Genomic DNA, 20,531 nt, shown 5'->3' on the forward strand with positions numbered 1-20,531 from the left:
CAAACATTATAAAATGAAGTAATGGGTAACCTGCATTAATTCTGTTGGATTCTCAGACTTTCCTTTCTCCCCCTGAGGAATGGAAAATGATTTGAACGAGATGGGAAACCAGCTTTTCCTCTCTCTCCTTCAAAACTTCTCAAAACACATTACTATGCTACTGGAAGCCATTCAATTTAACTAAGTCATTAAGTTAAATCATCTGCACACATTTTCTCAGTAAGATGAGTCTGCATGGTGGACTGATTTCATAGAACAGTTGCATGTAAACATCTCCAGGGAAAACCAGATGGCAATGATACATCAGTACCTAGTTAGTCCTACAAAGAGCAGGGCTCTGGTTCTGGACATGATCTTTCCAGGAATCCTGTAACCTAGGGTGGAACTTCACTATGGAGCCCAGCTGGTGGGTTGTGGTGGGGGGGCAGTTTTTTCCCCTCTTCCAGAGATGTTTTTGTTCATGGCTCTATAGCACTTACAGCAAAGAAGGCAGGCCAGGCCACCCAGTGTTCCCCGGCTAAGATTTCTGGAAGTACAAGGCCTGAAATTCAACAGAGACCACAAGGCCCTAAGGGGATGGGAGAATAAAACCCCTGGACCCCACTGGTTGTTCCAATACATCACTCAGGAAGGTGGGCCAGGAGAACAGAGGGCCCACTGGGAACAAAGGTCCATTAATTGCCAATCTCAAGGCACAGGGAGCCTTCAGAACAAAATGAGGAGGAGAAGGGAGGACCATGTGGCTGAACTGACCTGGCCAAGAAGAACTCCATAACGCACTTGCTTAATTAGTCATTACATTTTTTACCATAGTAAAGATATTATATATTTTTGTGTGTTGTATAGATCACAATAAACATAAAACACAAAGGAGAGGCAAACTGTGAGGGATTAGTCTAATTAGTGAAAAAAACATTAAACAGCTGACCCTGTATATATTCACTTTAAAGCCTAAAACTTAAACAACATGTTACAAATGTCTTCCAGGATCTGCCAGGGTAGAACAATAGGCCACCAATATAGCGTTCTTGTACCACTGTTTGCAATTGTGTAGAGTAGTACAGCATTTTCAATAAAGACAGGATGGCCTCGGTATCTGGAAACAATAACCAATGTGTTAAGGTTTAAAGGTACGTTAAGAACTCAATGCCCTTGGAACCAAAACAGAGTCCCAGGAAATGTGAGTGATTAGCAAGACCTTTTCAGTGGTGGCAATTTTAACAACGGTAACACTATTTTTAAAGGTTGAATCTCCATTATTAAGCCTAAGAAAGAAACCAATAAAGTTAACAAATCTATAGGACTAGTGTTGTGGGTAAAAGAGAAGTAGAAACCATTAGCCCTGGCCTGAGGAAGCTTCCAATAGAACCAAAGCAAACTTCAGGAAATCGTGTATCACTCCCCAAACCTGACCAGTTCTGTTATTCATGGGCAGGTGAAAACTATGAAAAGCAATATGGAAATCAGTGCTGTTTCTGTCTTCCTATCTATATTTATAAATAATAATAATAAAAACAGGCCAGGCACATTGGCTCATACCTGTAATCCCGGCATTTGTGAAGCCAAGGCAGGTGGATCACCTGAGGTCAGGAGTTTGAGACCAGCCTGGCCAACATGATGAAACCCCATCTCTACTAAAATACAAAAATTAGCCGGGGGTGGTGGCACACGGCTGCAGTCCCAGCTACTTGGGAGGCTGAGGCAGGAGAATCACTTGAACCTGGGAGGTGGAGGTTGCAGTGAGCCGAGATTATGCCACTGCACTTTAGTCTGGGTGACAAAGTGAGACTCTGTCCCCCTACACACACACACACACACACACACACACACACACACACACACACACACAAAGCAACTTTAACTTGGTGAAGCACCATGCTTTTTCTCTCTCTTCTTTTCACCTCTGGTAGAGATTCCAGTAAGTGCAGGAAGATCTGCATAGGCTAAAATAAGTTGTAACGCAGGTAAATGAGATGTCTATGAAACAAAACAAAAAGATCCTGACTGAGCAAAGAAGCAAAGAGGATTCCAAGCAGCCAGAGACACTCCCTCTTCGGAATCCTGAGTGTATAGATATCTTTAAACGGAAGACTACGCAGTCTGGCAACTTTATTTGGCTGTGCATAGCATATCTTCGGATGCTTCTGACTGGCCTAGATGCTGACATCAAAATTAATTAGGCAATACAGAAATAGAAGGCATTCATATCTGGAAATTTTAGGGAGAAAGTCTGGGCCCAGGGAAAGTTGTAATTTTCACTCGAGGTCAATGACTCTGACAATTAAAATAATAATGATAATATAAATTGCTTACATTTGTGTGCAAAGTCGAGAGTGTGTGGCAAGATTTAAAAGTAAGAGAAAAATAAGAGGAAGAAGATGTGTTTTTTGAGTTTTTACTGTATGCCAAGCCCTGTTTTAATACCTTTAGCTACTATGGAGGCCGAGAGTTAAACTTCACAACTATCATTATCTTCATTTTACAGGTGAGGAAAATGAGACAGAAAACTGAGGCAGCATAGCTAGACTGGGAAGCAGTTTCCTTTCCGATTCAATGGAGCTTTATCTCCCTTTCCTTTGCCCCTGCCATCTAGCTGCTTCTACCACCACTCACCGGTGCTGCAGGAAATCGTCCCTCCTCCTCCTCGCATGGTACACGTTCTCTTTGACTTACCTGCAGACACGGGCCTTGATGCTCATCTCCCTCTGTGAACTGCCCTCTTCTCCTCTGTCTTGCTCCAGTGGTTCCTCTGGCCACTCTACCTTGGTGTGCCACACACCATGATCCCAATCTAGACTTTCTCCTAAGTGCAATCTTCAGCCCTACTCTCTCTATATTTTGGTACTGTTGCAAGGCCTTCGCTGAGACAGAAATAACAAAGGCGAAGACCAAGGGTAAGGTAGTTGCTCAGAACACTTGGACAAGTGATCAAAGCCTGGTCCATGAGCCCAAAGAGAAGTCAGGAGCATGGCCAGAGGAACACGGTAGAAAACACACAGACAGTGTTCACAAACAGCACTTCTCCCCAACTCTTCCTACGTGGTCTGCAAAAACCACCTGAAGGAGCTGTTTTGTTTTGTTTTGTTCTGTTTTGTTTTGTTTTGTTTGAGACAGAGTCTCGCTCTTTTGCCCAGGCTGGAGTGCTGTGACATGATCTTGGCTCACTGCAACCTCCACCTCCTGGGTTCAAGCAATTCTCCTGCCTCAGCCTCCCAAGTGGCTGGGATTACAGGCGCCCGCCACCACACCTGGCTAATTTTGTATTTTTAGTAGAGATGGGGTTTCACCATGTTAGTCAGGCTGATCTTGAACTCCTGACCACCCACCTCGGCCTCCCAAAGTGCTGGGATTACAGGCATGAGCCACCAAGCCTGGCCAAAGAAGTTTATTTTTAAAAGCAAGGAAGAAGAGAGAAAGAGAGAGAAAAAGAAGAAGGAATGAAGGAAAGAAGGGAGGGAGGGAAGGAGGAAGGAAAGAAGGAAGGAAGGAAGGAAGGAAGGAAGGAAGGAAGGAAGGAAGGAAGGAAGGAAGGAAAGAAAAAAAAAAGAACAAGGAAAGAAAAAGGCAAGAAAGAAAGCTTTCCAGGTTCTACCTCTGGATGCTAATCACCAGGTTTGAAACAAGACCTGGGAATCTGCACTGTTACCGGCTAAGTTTGAGACTCCATGCAAGTCGGAACATGGAGTTCCAGAGCCTTCAGACAAATCTGAGATCAAAGCTGGAAGAAATTAACAAGACAAAGTATTAGAACCATCATGTGGCTGTGTTCTTCAGAGCACTGATTCCTTAGTCCACTTATTTTGAAGGCCCAGGGCCCCAAGTCAGGGTATTACTTGATTTATGATCCCACTTGCTTCCACAGTTGTCGGCCTGGGGGGTGCAGGAGTTCCCAGAGGAAGCCGTGGTAACAGGCTGCCTCTCGTGAGGACAAGGGTGTCACAACACTTTTCCAAGCTTCAGGCCAACACCCCTCCCAAGCCACCAGATGTTGCAACTGGACTCATGCCTGCGAGAGTCCAGCATGGCTTAAACTGGGTTCTCAGGCTCCCCATTCATCTTGTCAGGGTAGAGGAGGCTAGAACATGGGATCCTGTTGGGGGTAGGGTGGGAGGGAAAGCAAGCTGATGAATGCTAACCTTGGCATGTGGGTTTCAAGTGGTTCATAGTGAAAAAACAACAGCGCAAACAACAGCACTCTGTATTTTCCCTTCAGCATGATTGCTTTAAGGCAAATCTGCTGCTGCATCTTCTCCCAGTTCTTTGTTTCTCTTGAATAGGGTGTATCTGAACCCCATCACTGAGGGTGACCTAAGGGTCTTTGTGACCCAGGAAGAACTTAGAGTTCTGCAGAATATTTCTTCATACTCTTCAAAGCTTAGGTTTATAATCAGATAAATCCAATTCATTAGATCAGCCAGGTGCAAGACACCTGGGAAGTTGCTACTAGGTACACGCAACAACTGTCTGGCCTTTTCCATGACTCTTCTGTTTACTTCATCCCTCTGTTTGCCTCTCCACTTCAGGTGGAGCCTAATATCAGACATCTGGAGCAAGTTTAAAATGTACTGACGCAACTCAGATACACAAAATCACTATACTTTATTTCTTGCTAACTTAGATAGCACACAACTTAGATCGCAAGCCAAACTTCTGGAACTCTTAATCTTGTGAATTCAACTTGTCCAAAGGGGTCCAGGACTCTGCAAGGCTGTCCTCACCTTTACTGATCCATTACACAGGCATTGCTCTGTGGGTCTTCCACGCTCCTACTAAACCCTGGGAATTAGGGCAATTATCGTTTCTGCCCTGGGATTCCCTCTGGGATTCAACCCCCGGAACACACAGTTTGCTGGCACCCCTTCTGAGGCACCCACTACGTCCTCACCTCTCATTGTGTCTCCTCCGATCCTTTCTTCCTTGATGTTAGTTGAATTCATATTTCCTTTCAAGCTGGAAACCAGCTGTCATTCCCAACCCCCCTGCACATGATAAAAGCTCTGTGCTCTCAGTCTACCAGGCTTTTGGCTTTCGATATTAAAAGTGAAGGGTTTGGAATTCAAAGTCCTTCTCTCCACTAAGGGCCTGTTTCTGCCCTGAAAGCTGTACTATTTGGGTATGAAATACTGAACTGGTTGATTTTTTTTTTCAGCAGACAGTTATTGAGGGCCTGCTTTATTCCATTCACATGATCAGACATGCAGAAATGAATTTAACAGGTCCTTGCCTCTTCACTCAATGTGTAGCCCATTGATCAGCAGACTGGCATCATCTGGGAACTCACTAGAGAGAGAGCATCTCAGACCCCACCCAAGACCTGCAGAATCAGAATCTGCATTTTAACAAGAAGCCCAGCAAATTCAAGTGCATATTAACATTTGAGGAACACAGGTCTCTTGCCTTATTCACTAGCCCACAATATATACACATATTTGACAGATATGGAAATGAGGCCCAAAACCAGATGAGAACTCCACCTGGAAGCATCAGGTTATAATTGGAAATCCAAGTCTCTTCCACCCAATGCCCTTCCCCTACCCCCATCTTTTGGTCCAGAGGGCCCATACATTTCAGTCTCAGGCCTTAAGCAAAGCCAGGATCATCATTCTTATTCCATCCCTCTTCAGTTCTGTGCACAGCAGGGAGCTCTGGAAGGCCTTGCTGGAGCCATCTGAGACCTGACACAGCATCTGTAAAGGAAGTGCTCTCCAAATCCTGTTTGAAATGTGTTTATTTATTTCTAATCCATAAACATTTTGGAGTGCTCACCACATGCAAAGTCTTGGGCTGGATGAATCAGAGAAAACAAAGTGGAATATAACAACCTCAGGACACACCCCAGGGTCACAGTCTGGTTGGGGAAACAGACACTATCAATATACAATTTGCGGTGGCTTTAGTGGAGATTACATGGGGTTTTATTTACTTTACTATGGAGTAGACACTTAAAACATTTATCCCTAAAGGTAACTATTAGATTAGTCAATCACACCAGACTTTTAATACAAACATTGAGAATCAATTTTGAGGTTAAAGCAGGTAGAACCTGAATCTGTGGTGAGAGGAGTACAACTTTTAGAAAAGAAAATTATTCGACTACATAATCAGACGTTAATGGAGAAAGCATATTACTAAACCTGGCGGGGGCGGCAGTGGTTTTTTGTTGTTTCTGTTGTTCTTTGGGCTTGAAATAGGATATTCTGGCTATCTAGCGTTCCGGCAAACTAAGAGTTACTGTATAGGAAGTGTGAAAACAAAGTCAGTAAGATTGATTCCAAAAAAGACATTATGAAATCCATGTTCAGAACATTTCATTTATAGTGAATATACCTTATTAGAAAACAATCATTCTTGGCCAAGTGTGGTGGCTCATGTCTGTGATCCCAACACTTTGGGAGGCTGAGGTGAGAGGATCACTTGAGCCCAGGAATTTGAGACCAGCCTGGGCGACATGGCAAGACCCTGTCTCTACAAAACATAATTTGAAAAATTAGCCAGATGGGGTAGTGCATCCCTGTGGTACTACCTACTCAGGAGGCTGATGTGGAAGGATCACTTGAGCCCAGGAGTTCAAGAATGCCGGGAGCCATGAGAGTACCACTGCACTCCAGCCTGGGTGACAAAGCAAAACCCTGCCTCAAAAAAAGAAAACAATCATTCTTAATCCTGAAGCTAACCTGAGTATAATTCTCTTGTAATGCATTTCTCAAAGCATTTTGAAACATTACGAAATGTTAGGATCATTTTGTAAATATTAAATATAACTAAAGGAATTCTATATTTAAAATATGATTTATCTTTCTAGTGACTTGGAGTCCAGAAACTGATAGCTTACTATATCTAAATGCAACTTCACAATGAGAAGCTAATGTATTTGTTGACCAAAAAGTGTACAAAATCCATAAAACAGACTATATTCCAATTGGCAAATAATTCATTGATAACCTTTTTTTTTTTTGAGACAGGGTCTTACTCTGTTGCCAGGCTGGAGTGTAGTGGCACCGTTACGGCTCACTGCAGCCTCAACCCCCATGGAGATAAGCGATCCTCTCACCTCTCAGTCTCCTGAGTAGCTGGGACTATAGGCATGCACCACCACCCCCAGCAAATTTTTGTATTTTTTGTAGAGACTGAGTTTCATCATGATGCTTAAGCTGCTCTTAAATTCCTGGACTGAAGCAACCTACCCACCTTGGCCTCTGAGAGTACTGGGATTATAGGCATGAGCCACCATGCCTTCATTGATCATCTTTAATAAACTGTGTGAGCCATCACTTGGTCCCTTTCCAGGTCTTTGGAAGAGGATCATGCAAATGAGGGGTCCTAACACATCAGCTTCATTAGCTTCAAAATGTCTATGCTTCTCTGCCCAGAAGGGATGCTTTATTTGTCTAATTTGCACACACTCCACATAGGCTAACAGTGATCCTAGCTAATCTAAAAACATATGAAATTTACTACTTATATGAGTATTTAAAAGTTGGAGTTTATTATCCTTGCAGTTCAATAATGTTAAATCTTGGTGTTTCTTCTGTTAAAAAAATTTAAGCAAAAACCATATAAACCATCACTTTTTTAGCACCCTCTAAAACCAACTCAATTTTAGAATCACTTTAAAAGGCAAAGCTCATACAGTAGGTAAGAACTTGGTATAGACATCTAGACATGGTTAAATCTGATTTTTAATCAAAAAGAGTATTCATGGGTAAATGGGAAAGATGTATGGACTTTTAAAAAAACATTTTAGCAAAAAAAAAAAAAAATGGGAATGATAGAAATAATGTTGGCAAAAGGTTGATAATTGTTGAAGCTGGGAATGGATACATAAAGAAGCATTACATTTTTGTCTTTTTTGCTTATACCTAACCAAGTTTCTTTAAAAAATCCCAGTTCTTTTTTAAAAATACCTTTTTGAAAGATGTATATCAAACTACGCATTGTAATAAGCTCAAAAAAGCAGATTTAGGGTTCAGAGGATGAAAATAATCTTGGTTCTCCACTTTACAATTTGAGGAAAGAATAAATCATTAATGATTTGATCTGTGCATTGCCCTTATTCACAATGTATATATTATCTGTCAGTAATATCCAATATTATTATTATGAATGTTGTGCTATTTTGTTATTCTTATGTCCGCCAAGTTATATTAACTCACAATGTGCTTAATAACAAATATCTGATGAAGAATATATTTAAAGTTTAGATTTTTAGTAAGTGTGAAATGAACTAGGAAAAAATATAGAGATACCTGGACATCTGTAGTGAAGTCTGAAGAAAATAAAACAGTGAGAGAAGTAGCCCTCTACAAGATCTTCTTCTCCATCCTAAAACAGCACTCTGCATTATTTATTCACTCAACAAATATTTATTGAATGAGTTCTACATGGCGGCTTCAGCACAAAGGTGGACAAGACTAAAAAAGAACCTATTGTCTTAAGAGTCAAATCCTAGAAGAGGATTTTTTCTTCCAATGAAGATGAAATAAACAGGGGCCAACTTTGCACTCTCATCTTAAACAACTAGAGAACTGACAAAATACAGGAAACAATGGTTTTAGATACCGGACAGCAAGAAGTGTAAGACTGTGATCCCTGAGAATGGGGAAATAAACAAGGTGAGGCTTGCAATAAAGCAGCTTATTGCCTAAAGAGGGTTTCCATGTTGCAGGGCAGGATGGGGAAACAAACACAATCTAATGGTCTCACTGAGGTGGGGAGACAGAGACAGGAGTTATCAGGAGGCCAAGACAGTTAAGGCAGAATGCCAGACAGAGAGCTCTGAAGAGTGGGAGAGGGGTACTGTAAAGTTTTCATTTACTACTGCCCTCCTTATGCCTGAAAGAAAACTACTTGAGAGCAGAGAAAAGGAAAGGAAGAAGCAAATTTCTAGCATTTACACAGGGCTGAGAATAGTTCAGGTTGGCCCCATTCAGGTTAGCAAAAAAACTTCATAATACACAGGATATTGGGAACAATCCTCAGAGGATATTGCCTTAGTAGTGTGGTTAAATTAGCCCTAGACTAAATATTGCTCTAGACTTACACTGATAAGGTTTAAAAGCAAGCTCAAAAGTATCCAAGTGATTCTGAGTGACTTCACTATGCACTAGAACAAATCACAACATTATTCAAAGGAATGTAACAAAATCCAGCAACAAACAATGAAAAATTTCAGTACTGAAGAATTCAGTTTGCATCATTCACTAAGAACACGTTACCCCCAAAGAATTTGTCACTCAATTTTCTCATTGTATTTAATGAGGTGGTAAGAATTGTAAAATGTGTCAACAAAAGTGGTCTGAAGACTTGTGAACCAATCTTTGATGAAAATGAAACCATTTATGACTGACTTACACAGAAAAGAAATTTATTGGGAAGATTTCAAGGAATCAACAGAAAGTATGAAGAATCAGATTCAGAAAACAAGCAGGAAACAAAGAGATCTGGGCAATTAATCCCCAGGAACACCCTGCAAGGACAGTTTCGCCATCATCATGGACATTACACACAACTCCTGATCCAGCCACCACTAGACACAGGGTGCTGTTAATGCCATTTAAATTAATTCTAAACTGTCACCTACCTCTTTGTGTAACTGCTTAGGTTCAAACCCCTGGTTGGAAGACCCTGTTGTTCAAGCTTAGATTACGTGTCCATGCCTTAGCTGGCTAACTTCCGTTTCCATTATAGGAGCAGGGAGCTAAAAGCTCACACAGTAGCAAACTACACAAATGCACAAAGTAGGTTCAGATGATGAGAAATCAAAAGCAAATAACAATCCCTACTGCTTCACTCCCGTTACACAAATGTATAACAATATTTAATGTAATTCTGAAAGCATATTGGACTATACACAAGATGTTTAAATCAGAAGAAGCTCATCAGAAACTATAACCCAGATGCTCATCAGAAACTGAAGACATTTTAACAAAGAGTAAAAATCTAAACTAGATAAATTAATTTCTTGTTTGTCTTAATGCCTGGGTGCTTACAAAGTTGACTTAGTTAGCAGACATTTTCCAATGTTGGGTGCTTTCAAACACTACAAAGCACAGCTGAGTGTTTTACTTCATCTGCACCTGACTGATGTGCTGAAAGTAAAGTTTTAGAGCTGTTTGAAGAAAGTTGTTTAGGAGGAGTATCATCACGTATGTGTGATTAAAAGTCAATGTTACTGGTAAGATAAATAAATAAATCTTTCTTCATAAAAAGCAACACTTTGAGAATTATTTTCCTGAAACCATAAATGAGAAAGACCAGTGATTCGAGAAGCTTGCAATTTATCAGATCACACAGGAAAAAACCCACAGCATTAAAATACATTCAGCAAAATTCCATACAAAAGTAGCAAAATAATATTCTGTGATGTTAACACTTTGGCAACATACTGTGCACCTCTCATACTTCATAAAGAAGTGAAAATATTTGAAGTTTGTACCTACTCATTCATGTAAGTGTGAGTTCTTGATATATTGTGATACCAAGAAAAAGAAGGAAAACTGTGTATATTGAATCTGATAATCAGTGTTTACTTCCTTTTTGCAGCCCAAACTTCAAAATCATGATATTTCAGAACAAAGTGATCTTATCCATTAACTATAAAATAGAAAAGGCTTTCCCAAAGATATTTAAGACATCATTTGATATTATAGCATATACACATGTACTATGGAGAAAAATGCAAATAATTTTCTACTTGTGATGAGCCCCAGAGGTTCACTTCTACTGCGGTTAGGAATACAATAGTGAAGAATGCACTTAGAAGCATTACTCGATGTAACCATGAGAGAATTTGATCAGTTGGAAAGTATAGCTGCCATGTAAGATCAAGAGTCAGGTTGAACAGAGTTAGCCACATGTGAAGAATGAAGTGAACTTTCAGGCAGAGTTTAGAAGGAAAGACTTTTTCTACATCTTAGTTGACATTTTGACTGAAATGGACCTGCCTCAATGCCCACCTCACTTTGGAGGTAGGATAACAGGGGTTGATGCAGTTTGTAAAGCCCTGAGTTGGAAATTGTTGTCCTCATTCTGTGTGGTCTTGGGTAAGTCACTTACTCTTCCCAGATACCGAGGTGTCAGTCCCCTTTGCTTTGTAAAATCTGGGCTTTAGAATGTATATCACCAAGATTCCTCCTTGCTCCAAACGCTATGGCCCCATGGTGTGTCTCTTTTCGTAACTTTTCCCTTGCTCATCTGATGTGTGATGGATGATCGTTAACACTGTAGCTATAAACCTGACCCTTCATTTCCAGTCTGAGATTAAAAAACGAAACACGGATACATCTCATTCGCATGTCTTCCCACCCACTGAGATTGTAAGCTCCTCCACAGTGAGCATTGTGTTGGTCACCGAGTTTTGAATAAATATTAAATTGTTTAAATGAGAGAAATGTCTTGAATCAGTGAGTACTTTTAAACAAACCTTGCCTCTTGATTAGCCATCTTTTTACATATTTCTAATGTTAAAAATCTGCAACCGTGCTGTGCATAAAAATATGTGAGCCACATATGTCATTTTAAAATTTTATTAGGCACACCTTAAAGAGTAAAGTGGTCGAATTAATTTCAGTGTATTTTGTTTAACCCAATGTATCCAAAATACTATCATTTCAACATGGAATCAATATAAAATTATTAATGAGATATTTTACATTTTTTACACTACATCTTTGGAATTGAGTGTGCATTTTATAATTACAGCACATTTAAGTTTGGGTTAGCCATAGCTCAACTATTCAATGACCACAAGTAGCTAGTGGCTACTGGACTGGACTGTGCACGTCTAGAGAGCATAAGAGGGGGTAAGTAAAATGCATGATGAAAGATGCATGTTATCTCCTATATTTCACAATTTTAAAAAATTGGGTTTAAAGCCAAGTTTAAAGTGAAAGATCAAATGTTCAAGGCCATGTGTTAATAGCTATGACCTAAATAAACAACTGCAGAGGTCAGAAGTGGTGCCTGATGTTGTATACTGACTATGTGCAAAGTGTCTCAGTACCCGTAGTGTGGTAGGAGCTCTGCAACATTAAGGCTGTGCCCCAGTTTGGATAGATAGCTTCTCAGGCAGTGCCACATCATAAGCCTAACCACCACTATAAGCCATATTTCTAAAGTACCTACAGAGCCACATGTTATATTAGTGATGGCATTTTCAGGGACCTGCCGATTATCTGAAAGGTAATTAAGACGTCAGGTAGATGGCTGGGCGAGGTGGCTCATGCCTGTAATCCCAGCACTTTGAGGGGCCGAGGCAGGTGGATCACTGAGATCAGGAGTTCCAGACAAGCCTGGCCAACATGGTAGAACATAGAGCCTAGACAACATAGAGAAACCCCATCTCTATTAAAAATACAAAAATTAAGGAATGGTACCAGTTCCTCCTTGTACCTCTGGTAGAATTCGGCTGTGAATCCATCTGGTCCTGGACTCTTTTTGGTTGGTAAACTATTGATTATTGCCACAATTTCAGCTCCTGTTATTGGTCTATTCAGAGGTTCAACTTCTTCCTGGTTTAGTCTTGGGAGAGTGTATGTGTCAAGGAATGTATCCATTTCTTCTAGATTTTCTAGTTTATTTGCGTAGAGGTGTTTGTAGTATTCTCTGATGGTAGTTTGTATTTCTGTGGGATCGGTGGTGATATCCCCTTTATCATTTTTTATTGTGTCTATTTGATTCTCCTCTCTTTTTTTCTTTATTAGTCTTGCTAGCGGTCTATCAATTTTGTTGATCCTTTCAAAAAACCAGCTCCTGGATTCATTGATTTTTTGAAGGGTTTTTTGTGTCTCTATTTCCTTCAGTTCTGCTCTGATTTTAGTTATTTCTTGCCTTCTGCTAGCTTTTGAATGTGTTTGCTCTTGCTTTTCTAGTTCTTTTAATTGTGATGTTAGGGTGTCAATTTTGGATCTTTCCTGCTTTCTCTTGTGGTCATTTAGTGCTATAAATTTCCCTCTACACACTGCTTTGAATGCGTCCCAGAGATTCTGGTATGTTGTGTCTTTGTTCTCGTTGGTTTCAAAGAACATCTTTATTTCTGCCTTCATTTCGTTATGTACCCAGTAGTCATTCAGGAGCAGGTTGTTCAGTTTCCATGTAGTTGAGCGGCTTTGAGTGAGATTCTTAATCCTGAGTTCTAGTTTGATTGCACTGTGGTCTGAGAGATAGTTTGTTATAATTTCTGTTCTTTTACATTTGCTGAGGAGAGCTTTACTTCCAACTATGTGGTCAATTTTGGAATAGGTGTGGTGTGGTGCTGAAAAAAACATATATTCTGTTGATTTGGGGTGGAGAGTTCTGTAGATGTCTATTAGGTCCGCTTGGTGCAGAGCTGAGTTCAATTCCTGGGTATCCTTGTTGACTTTCTGTCTCGTTGATCTGTCTAATGTTGACAGTGGGGTGTTAAAGTCTCCCATTATTAATGTGTGGGAGTCTAAGTCTCTTTGTAGGTCACTCAGGACTTGCTTTATGAATCTGGGTGCTCCTGTATTGGGTGCATATATATTTAGGATAGTTAGCTCCTCTTGTTGAATTGATCCCTTTACCATTATGTAATGGCCTTCTTTGTCTCTTTTGATCTTTGTTGGTTTAAAGTCTGTTTTATCAGAGAAAATTTTCGCAACCTACTCATCTGACAAAGGGCTAATATCCAGAATCTACAATGAACTCAAACAAATTTACAAGAAAAAAACAAACAACCCCATCAAAAAGTGGGCGAAGGACATGAACAGACACTTCTCAAAAGAAGACATTTATGCAGCCAAAAAATACATGAAAAAATGCTCATCATCACTGGCCATCAGAGAAATGCAAATCAAAACCACCATGAGATACCATCTCACACCAGTTAGAATGGCAATCATTAAAAAGTCAGGAAACAACAGGTGCTGGAGAGGATGTGGAGAAATAGGAACACTTTTACACTGTTGGTGGGACTGTAAACTAGTTCAACCATTGTGGAAGTCAGTGTGGCGATTCCTCAGGGATCTAGAACTAGAAATACCATTTGACCCAGCCATCCCATTACTGGGTATATACCCAAATGACTATAAATCATGCTGCTATAAAGACACATGCACACGTATGTTTATTGCAGCATTATTCACAATAGCAAAGACTTGGAACCAACCCAAATGTCCAACAATGATAGACTGGATTAAGAAAATGTGGCACATATACACCATGGAATACTATGCAGCCATAAAAAATGATGAGTTCATGTCCTTTGTAGGGACATGGATGAAATTGGAAACCATCATTCTCAGTAAACTATCACAAGAACAAAAAACCAAACACCGCATATTCTCACTCATAGGTGGGAATTGAACAATGAGATCACATGGTCACAGGAAGGGGAATATCACACTCTGGGGACTGTGGTGGGGTGGGGGGAGGGGGGAGGGGTAGCATTGGGAGATATACCTAATGCTAGATGACGAGTTAGTGGGTGCAGCGCACCAGCATGGCACATGTATACATATGTAACTAACTTGCACAATGTGCACATGTACCCTAAAACTTAAAGTATAATAAAAAAAAAAATACAAAAATTAGCTGAACATGGTTCGCACAAGCATGCACCTGTAATCCCAGTTACTCAGGAAGCTGAGGCAGGAGAATCGCTTGAACCCAGGAGGCAGAGGTTGCAGTGAGCCAAAATAGTGCCACTGCACTCCAGCCTGGGTGGCAGAGTGAGACTCCATCTCAAAAAAAAAAAAAAAAAAAAAAAAAAAAAAAAGACAACAAGTAGCTGAAAAGTTTCGAGGCTCAGAACACACAATTAGTTTTTAAATTTCCCCAGCTGTCACCAAATACCATCTCCATATATATATCAAGTGTAGGTTGTGTCTTGCTCTCATGACCGTCTTTCTCTTCAAACTTGCCTTCAATGATCATTTTAACTTTACTTTATCTATATAAATATTTGCACTGGAGGGGCAGGCAGGGTCTTCTCAGAACTATATACCTCCCAAGTGCAGGTTCTTTATTTTTTGCCCAAATAGACTACAGACTAGTAGCTTCATGTGACCTTTACAACAAGTCTGTGCTCCCTTCTCTAGACCTGTTTCTTTCCCATCATTCTTTCTGGAATTCAATCTCTGAAGGACTGTTGGTAAAATATGGAGGTAGTTCTGGAAATTGACAACACTGGGAGTGGGGGACTGTGATGGAAACAATCTGAAAGACAGGGGCAAAGTGGGAACAACTCACAGCACTTCGCTACTATAGAGAGGTCAAAATGTGGGCTACAAATCAAATTTGTCCTTGGCTGGATCCACAATTATAAGATACCTGAGCCCAAGGGCTTTAGAGCATCTGCCTGCCATTTGAGCCCAGAACAAGCTGCCTGGATATGGAGACTGGTCCTCCAATTAGCTACAATTGAGCTCGGGATGAGAGCTGTGCTATCCTTTTTCCTCTCCTCAATTTTGTTATTCTAGCAGCTGTCATCACCATTCACTTCCACTCACAGACTGTACATAGTAAAGGAGCTCCATTCAAGTTTTGTATCCAAATTAACTTTGCAGCCCAGCTAATGTGAATTTATGGGAACCAATGGTAAATATAAATGCTAGCTGCCCTCCCACTCAACATGGGCTGTTAGTAGATATTTACATTTAGAAGTTTAACACATCCTGGCTTTAATCCAATATTCTCTAACATTCTCTAAACAGTCCCAGTTTTCTAAACCCTATGGTTAGCATGTATAAAGAGAGGACCAAAGGGGGGAAACATTAGGAAGCAGCTATAAATATAAACCACCTTTAAAGATTTACACAGAGATTTTGTTAGTAAATTTAGAGAGCTGTGTACACTAGAGCTAAATTTTTACCCATACACTTAGAAACTAACAGAAGCACGCAGGGAAATCATCTGTTGTGTTAACTCCCTCCCACCCCTACTCTTTCTGACTTTTGAATTAGGAAGAAAAGGAAGCCAACCAAGAATCAAATGCAGTTATAACTGCATTCGTTTTTGGAATTAACCACTAGTGAAACACACATAGAAAGTAAGAACAAAAAATAAGCCTCCCTGGCCATATCAGTATTCTAGCTTTTTCCCCAAATGAGCTTAAATCATTAAATAACAGCAGTTTAGTTGTCAATATTTACATTATGCAAAATACTTCCTCTTCAAGATTGTTTTGGCTATTCAAGGGCCTGTGCTTTTCTATATATATTTTATTATCAATGTATCAATTTTTATAAAAAAAAAATTCTCTTGGAACTTTGGGCTTACATTGACTCTGCACGTCAATTTGGGGAGCACCTATATGTGAGCTCCATCAGACTCATGACCCATGAACATGTATGTCTCTCCATTTATTTAGATCTTCTTTAATTTCTTTCAGCCATGGTTTGTAGTTTTCTCAGCAGAGTCCCTGCATGCTTTTTGTTAAATATATTCCTAAGTATTTTGTGATTTTTGAGTTGCGGTAACTGGAATTTTTTGAAGTTTCACTATCTAAATGTTTGCCTGAGAAAAAGAAATCAATACCCTGAACCCTTCTACAACCCTTTCTTTGGGCACCCTTTCTGCCATGACCTTCTTGCCCTCCTAATTAGCATGAGGGCCAATTTCTGCCTATCCCTTTGGCCCTATTTCTCTACTTCATCTGTAGCTAAATCCCACCTAGGCCCAAACTTTTGCTGATCCAGTCTCCTCCTCTCAGTCCGCTGCCAGTATCTTGGGTTTTTGTTGTGTTTTGTTTTTGTTTGGTGGGAGGGCATGCACAAGCATCCTCAGGTCAGATGAGAAAGACTCAAAAAGCACTGCTCTAAGGAAACAGGGTATTCATGTAAACATATTCCACTGCCTTTAATGGATGCATGCTAGAAGTATCTGATCAAATTAGAAATGCCCTCATTAGTGGTGCATTTTGTGGAAAGAGCTCATTTCCCATCACATGTGTGCCCTTAAATATCCCTTTGTTGCCTCTACTCTCTTTGGAAATGATGATGAGATCATGCATTTGGGTAGAAGCCACTCACCAGGTAGAATAGAGCAAAATATGAAAGATAAAATGGGATTCTCAGGCTCTTGAGTTTACATTTCTACAGCTAAAGTAAGGTTTGTTCATTTTCTTCCTGGCCAATAATTTTTCTCCCAGGTCCAAATAAGAGCCAACTGAGAAGCAAGGCCAAAGCTCCTAGTTAATAGTATTGTCATTTTACATGCACTTGTTCATGGACCTCCTAGCTCACTGAGCATTGGTAAAGGAAGAACCCACCTTCCTGCTCCCCACTCTGATTACATACACTCTCACACATGCTCACACATTCTCACAATGGAACACTCACACATACACACTTCCACACTCATGCATTTCACACACTCATACTCATATACTCTCACACACTTGCACATGTTCACACTCATACTCATGTATTTCACATTCCCACACTCACATATATTCACACTCACACACTGTTGCACACACACTCACATACTGACACATATACTCACACTTATGCATATGCACGTACATAATACACTCTCACACTCACACATACACATACACTCACATACTTTCACACACTCTCACACTCATGCTCACACACCGACACACACACGCATATACTCTCCCACTCTCTAACAGCCCATGGTGAGTGGGAGTGCAGCTAGCATTTATATTTACCATTGGTTCCCATAAGTTCACATAAGAGAAGGAGGGAGAAAGAGGCAGAGATACAAACTATCTCACACTCACATATTGACTGGCACACTCTCACACTGACACACTCACTCTAATGTCTATACACACTCACAGTCTCACACATGAAACAGGACAGAAACAAGCAGCTTTCTGGACTCCTGATACTCCCAGTTGTCACCAAGGCCAAAGCTGTCCAAGAAACTACGCTGGTTGGGGCAGCTGCTTAAAGTTTTGAACCCTTTGGGAACATCCCCTCTGCTATCTCAGTACTCGAGGCCCTCTGCCTTGACAGCTAGTTTTCATTCAATATCACAGAGAATCCTCTTTTGGGAACTGGTTCAACTCCCAACTTTTGTTTGACATTTGTAGCTAATGCTTACTTCTACCACCATCTTTGTGACCTAGAGAGGTGAAATTATCCCATAATGAGGACAGCTAGCATTTATGTAGCACTCCCAATGTGCACTCCCCTAAATCCTTTTATAACACCTATTTAATCCTCACAGCAACACCATGAAGTAGCACCATTAAAACCCTTATTTTGCCAGGTGCAGTGGCTCATACCTGTAATTCCAACACTTTGGGAGGCTGAGGCAGGCAGATCATATGAGGCCAGGAGTTCAAGACCAGACTGGCCAACATGGAGAAACCCTGTCTCTACTAAAAATACAAAAATTAACCAGGCGTGGTGGCACCTGCCTGTAGCCCCAGCTACTTGGGAGGCTGAGGTATGAGAACCACTTGAATCCAGGAAGCCGAGGTTGCAGTGAGCTGAGATCATGCCACTGCACTCCAACTGGGAGACAGAGTGAAAAACTGTCTCAAAAAAAATTATTATTTTATACACACGAAAATTGAGGCACAGAGAAATTAAGTAACTTACCCAAGGTTCCACAGCTGAAACATGGTACAACAGGGATTCAAATCCAAGTTATCTGGCTCTAGAGTGTTCATTCCTAAATGCCGTTATGACACTGCCTCTCTCTGCAAATAAAAAAGATACTGCAAAGTTAATCTAAATAACTTTCTCTCTTACAATCATCACACTTGACAATTTATATTCATAAGCAATATTATCACAGATATTTGGCACCAGATGTAGAACCACTAGAAATATTTTGACCACGAGGACTTTGAGTGAGCAATGCCTTCAGACCTCTCTGTGCATGCCCAGAGTCTAAATAGAAAGAGAAACTGGGTAGTGAGAAGAAGGGAGAAAGACAGAGGCAGAGACATAGAGTAATGGCCTAGAGACACAGTGAGAGAAATGGGAGAAGCGGACCAGTCAGAGGCCAGAGAGGACAGCAGCTAGAACTATCAAGGAGATGCCCAAAGGGAATTTGATACAAACATGAAAGAAAAAAAAAAAAGCCTGGCACACACACAAGCACGTCTACTAGGGAGAGTGTATTAGTCCATTATCATGCTGCTATGAAGAAATACCCAAGACTGTGTAATTCATAAAGGAAAGAGGTTTAATTGACTCAGTTCCACAAGGCTGGGGAGGCCTTGGGAAACTTACAATCATGGCAAAAGGGGAAGCAAACACGTCCTTCTTCACATGGTGGCAGGAGAGAGAAGTGCAGCACAAAGAGGGGAAAACCCCTTATAAAACCATCAGATCTCATGAGAACTCACTCACCATCACAAGAACAGCATGAGGGAACCGCCCCCATAATCTAGTCATCTCCCACGAGGTCCCTCCCACAACATGTGGAGATTATAGGAGCTTCAAGAGGAGATTTGGGTGGGGGCACAGCCAAACCATATCAGAGAGCTTCCAGAATGTGAGACTGGACCAGGGGCAGTGGCTCACACTTCTGATCCCAGTGCACTTTGGGAGGCTGAGGCAAGAGGATGGCTTGAGCCCAGGAGTTCAAGATCAGACTGGGAAATATAGGGAGACCCCATCTTCACAAAAAAAAAAAAAAAAAAAAAAAATTAATCAGGCATGGTGAGCACCACTGTGGTCCCTGCTACTCAGAAGGCTGAAGTGGAAGGATTGTTTGAGCCCAGGAGGTCAAGGCTACAGTGAGCCAAAATTGCACCACTGCCCTCTAGCCTGGATAACAAAGCAAGACGGTGTTTCAAAACAAAATTAAAAATTAAAAAAAAAAAAGAATGCTCTATTTGAACCTGAGGTCAAAAGAAGAACAATGAAGGAACTGTACATGAAAGGGAACCAAAAATGGTAATAGATTTGGGAACAAATATAGACATACTAATTATTAGAAGACTATCTAAGTAAGGGACTGGTACCTCCTATGTTGAAAATAAACCTCTTAGAAATATGTGACCTGCCTACCTGCATTCAGTTCTTACCTGGCAAATGCCCACTCACATAGTAGCCAGCTCTGGACTGAAGCCATCAATCGAATGGCATCATATATGCATCCTCAAGGGGAAAATGCTGCCTTTGCAGGCCCTGGACCCAGGAGCACACTCTTGAGTCCTCAGGTGTAGCGCAGCAAACAACAGAAATCTATTTCTTGGGGTAAGTTTGTAGGCTTTTGATCATTGAGATAATACCTACAGGTTTAAAGAATGACAAAAATAACTTTAGGTCATTTGGGAAAATGTGTAGACATTATACAGAAAGCAAAGTCTGGCATGAAACGGACAACAATGTTGTTGCCAAAACTGGATCAGGCTACCATAATCTTTTTTCTTACATTCCACTTTTCTATCTTTTCCAAATATTCCACAGTGATCATGTATTAATTTTTCTCTTATTTTGATGTTGCAAATATTTATTTTATTATGGAAAACGGCAAGCTACATATGGGGAAAAAGAAAAATTGAAATTATGCAATGGCCTACCACTCAAGAGATAATTATTAAGATTGTGGTGTACTTTTTTCTATATACTTTTTTTTAA

General features: G+C 40.6%; 1 long non-coding RNA gene across 1 annotated transcript in view; it reads right to left on the bottom strand.

Annotated features, from left to right (window-relative positions):
- The window catches only part of LOC107984676 (uncharacterized), a 44,077-nt gene extending 23,895 nt beyond the window's left edge, over positions 1-20,182 (bottom strand). The window contains exons 1-2 of the long non-coding RNA XR_001750978.2: positions 19,976-20,182; positions 18,537-18,637 (exon numbers count right to left, since the gene is read on the bottom strand). This is a non-coding gene — a long non-coding RNA (uncharacterized LOC107984676). The remainder of the gene's footprint in view (positions 1-18,536; positions 18,638-19,975) is intronic.
- Between the last annotated feature and the right edge of the window lie 349 nt (positions 20,183-20,531).

The sequence above is a fragment of the Homo sapiens genome, chromosome 14, assembly GCF_000001405.40.
Source record: "Homo sapiens chromosome 14, GRCh38.p14 Primary Assembly".
Classification (NCBI taxonomy): domain Eukaryota; kingdom Metazoa; phylum Chordata; class Mammalia; order Primates; family Hominidae; genus Homo; species Homo sapiens.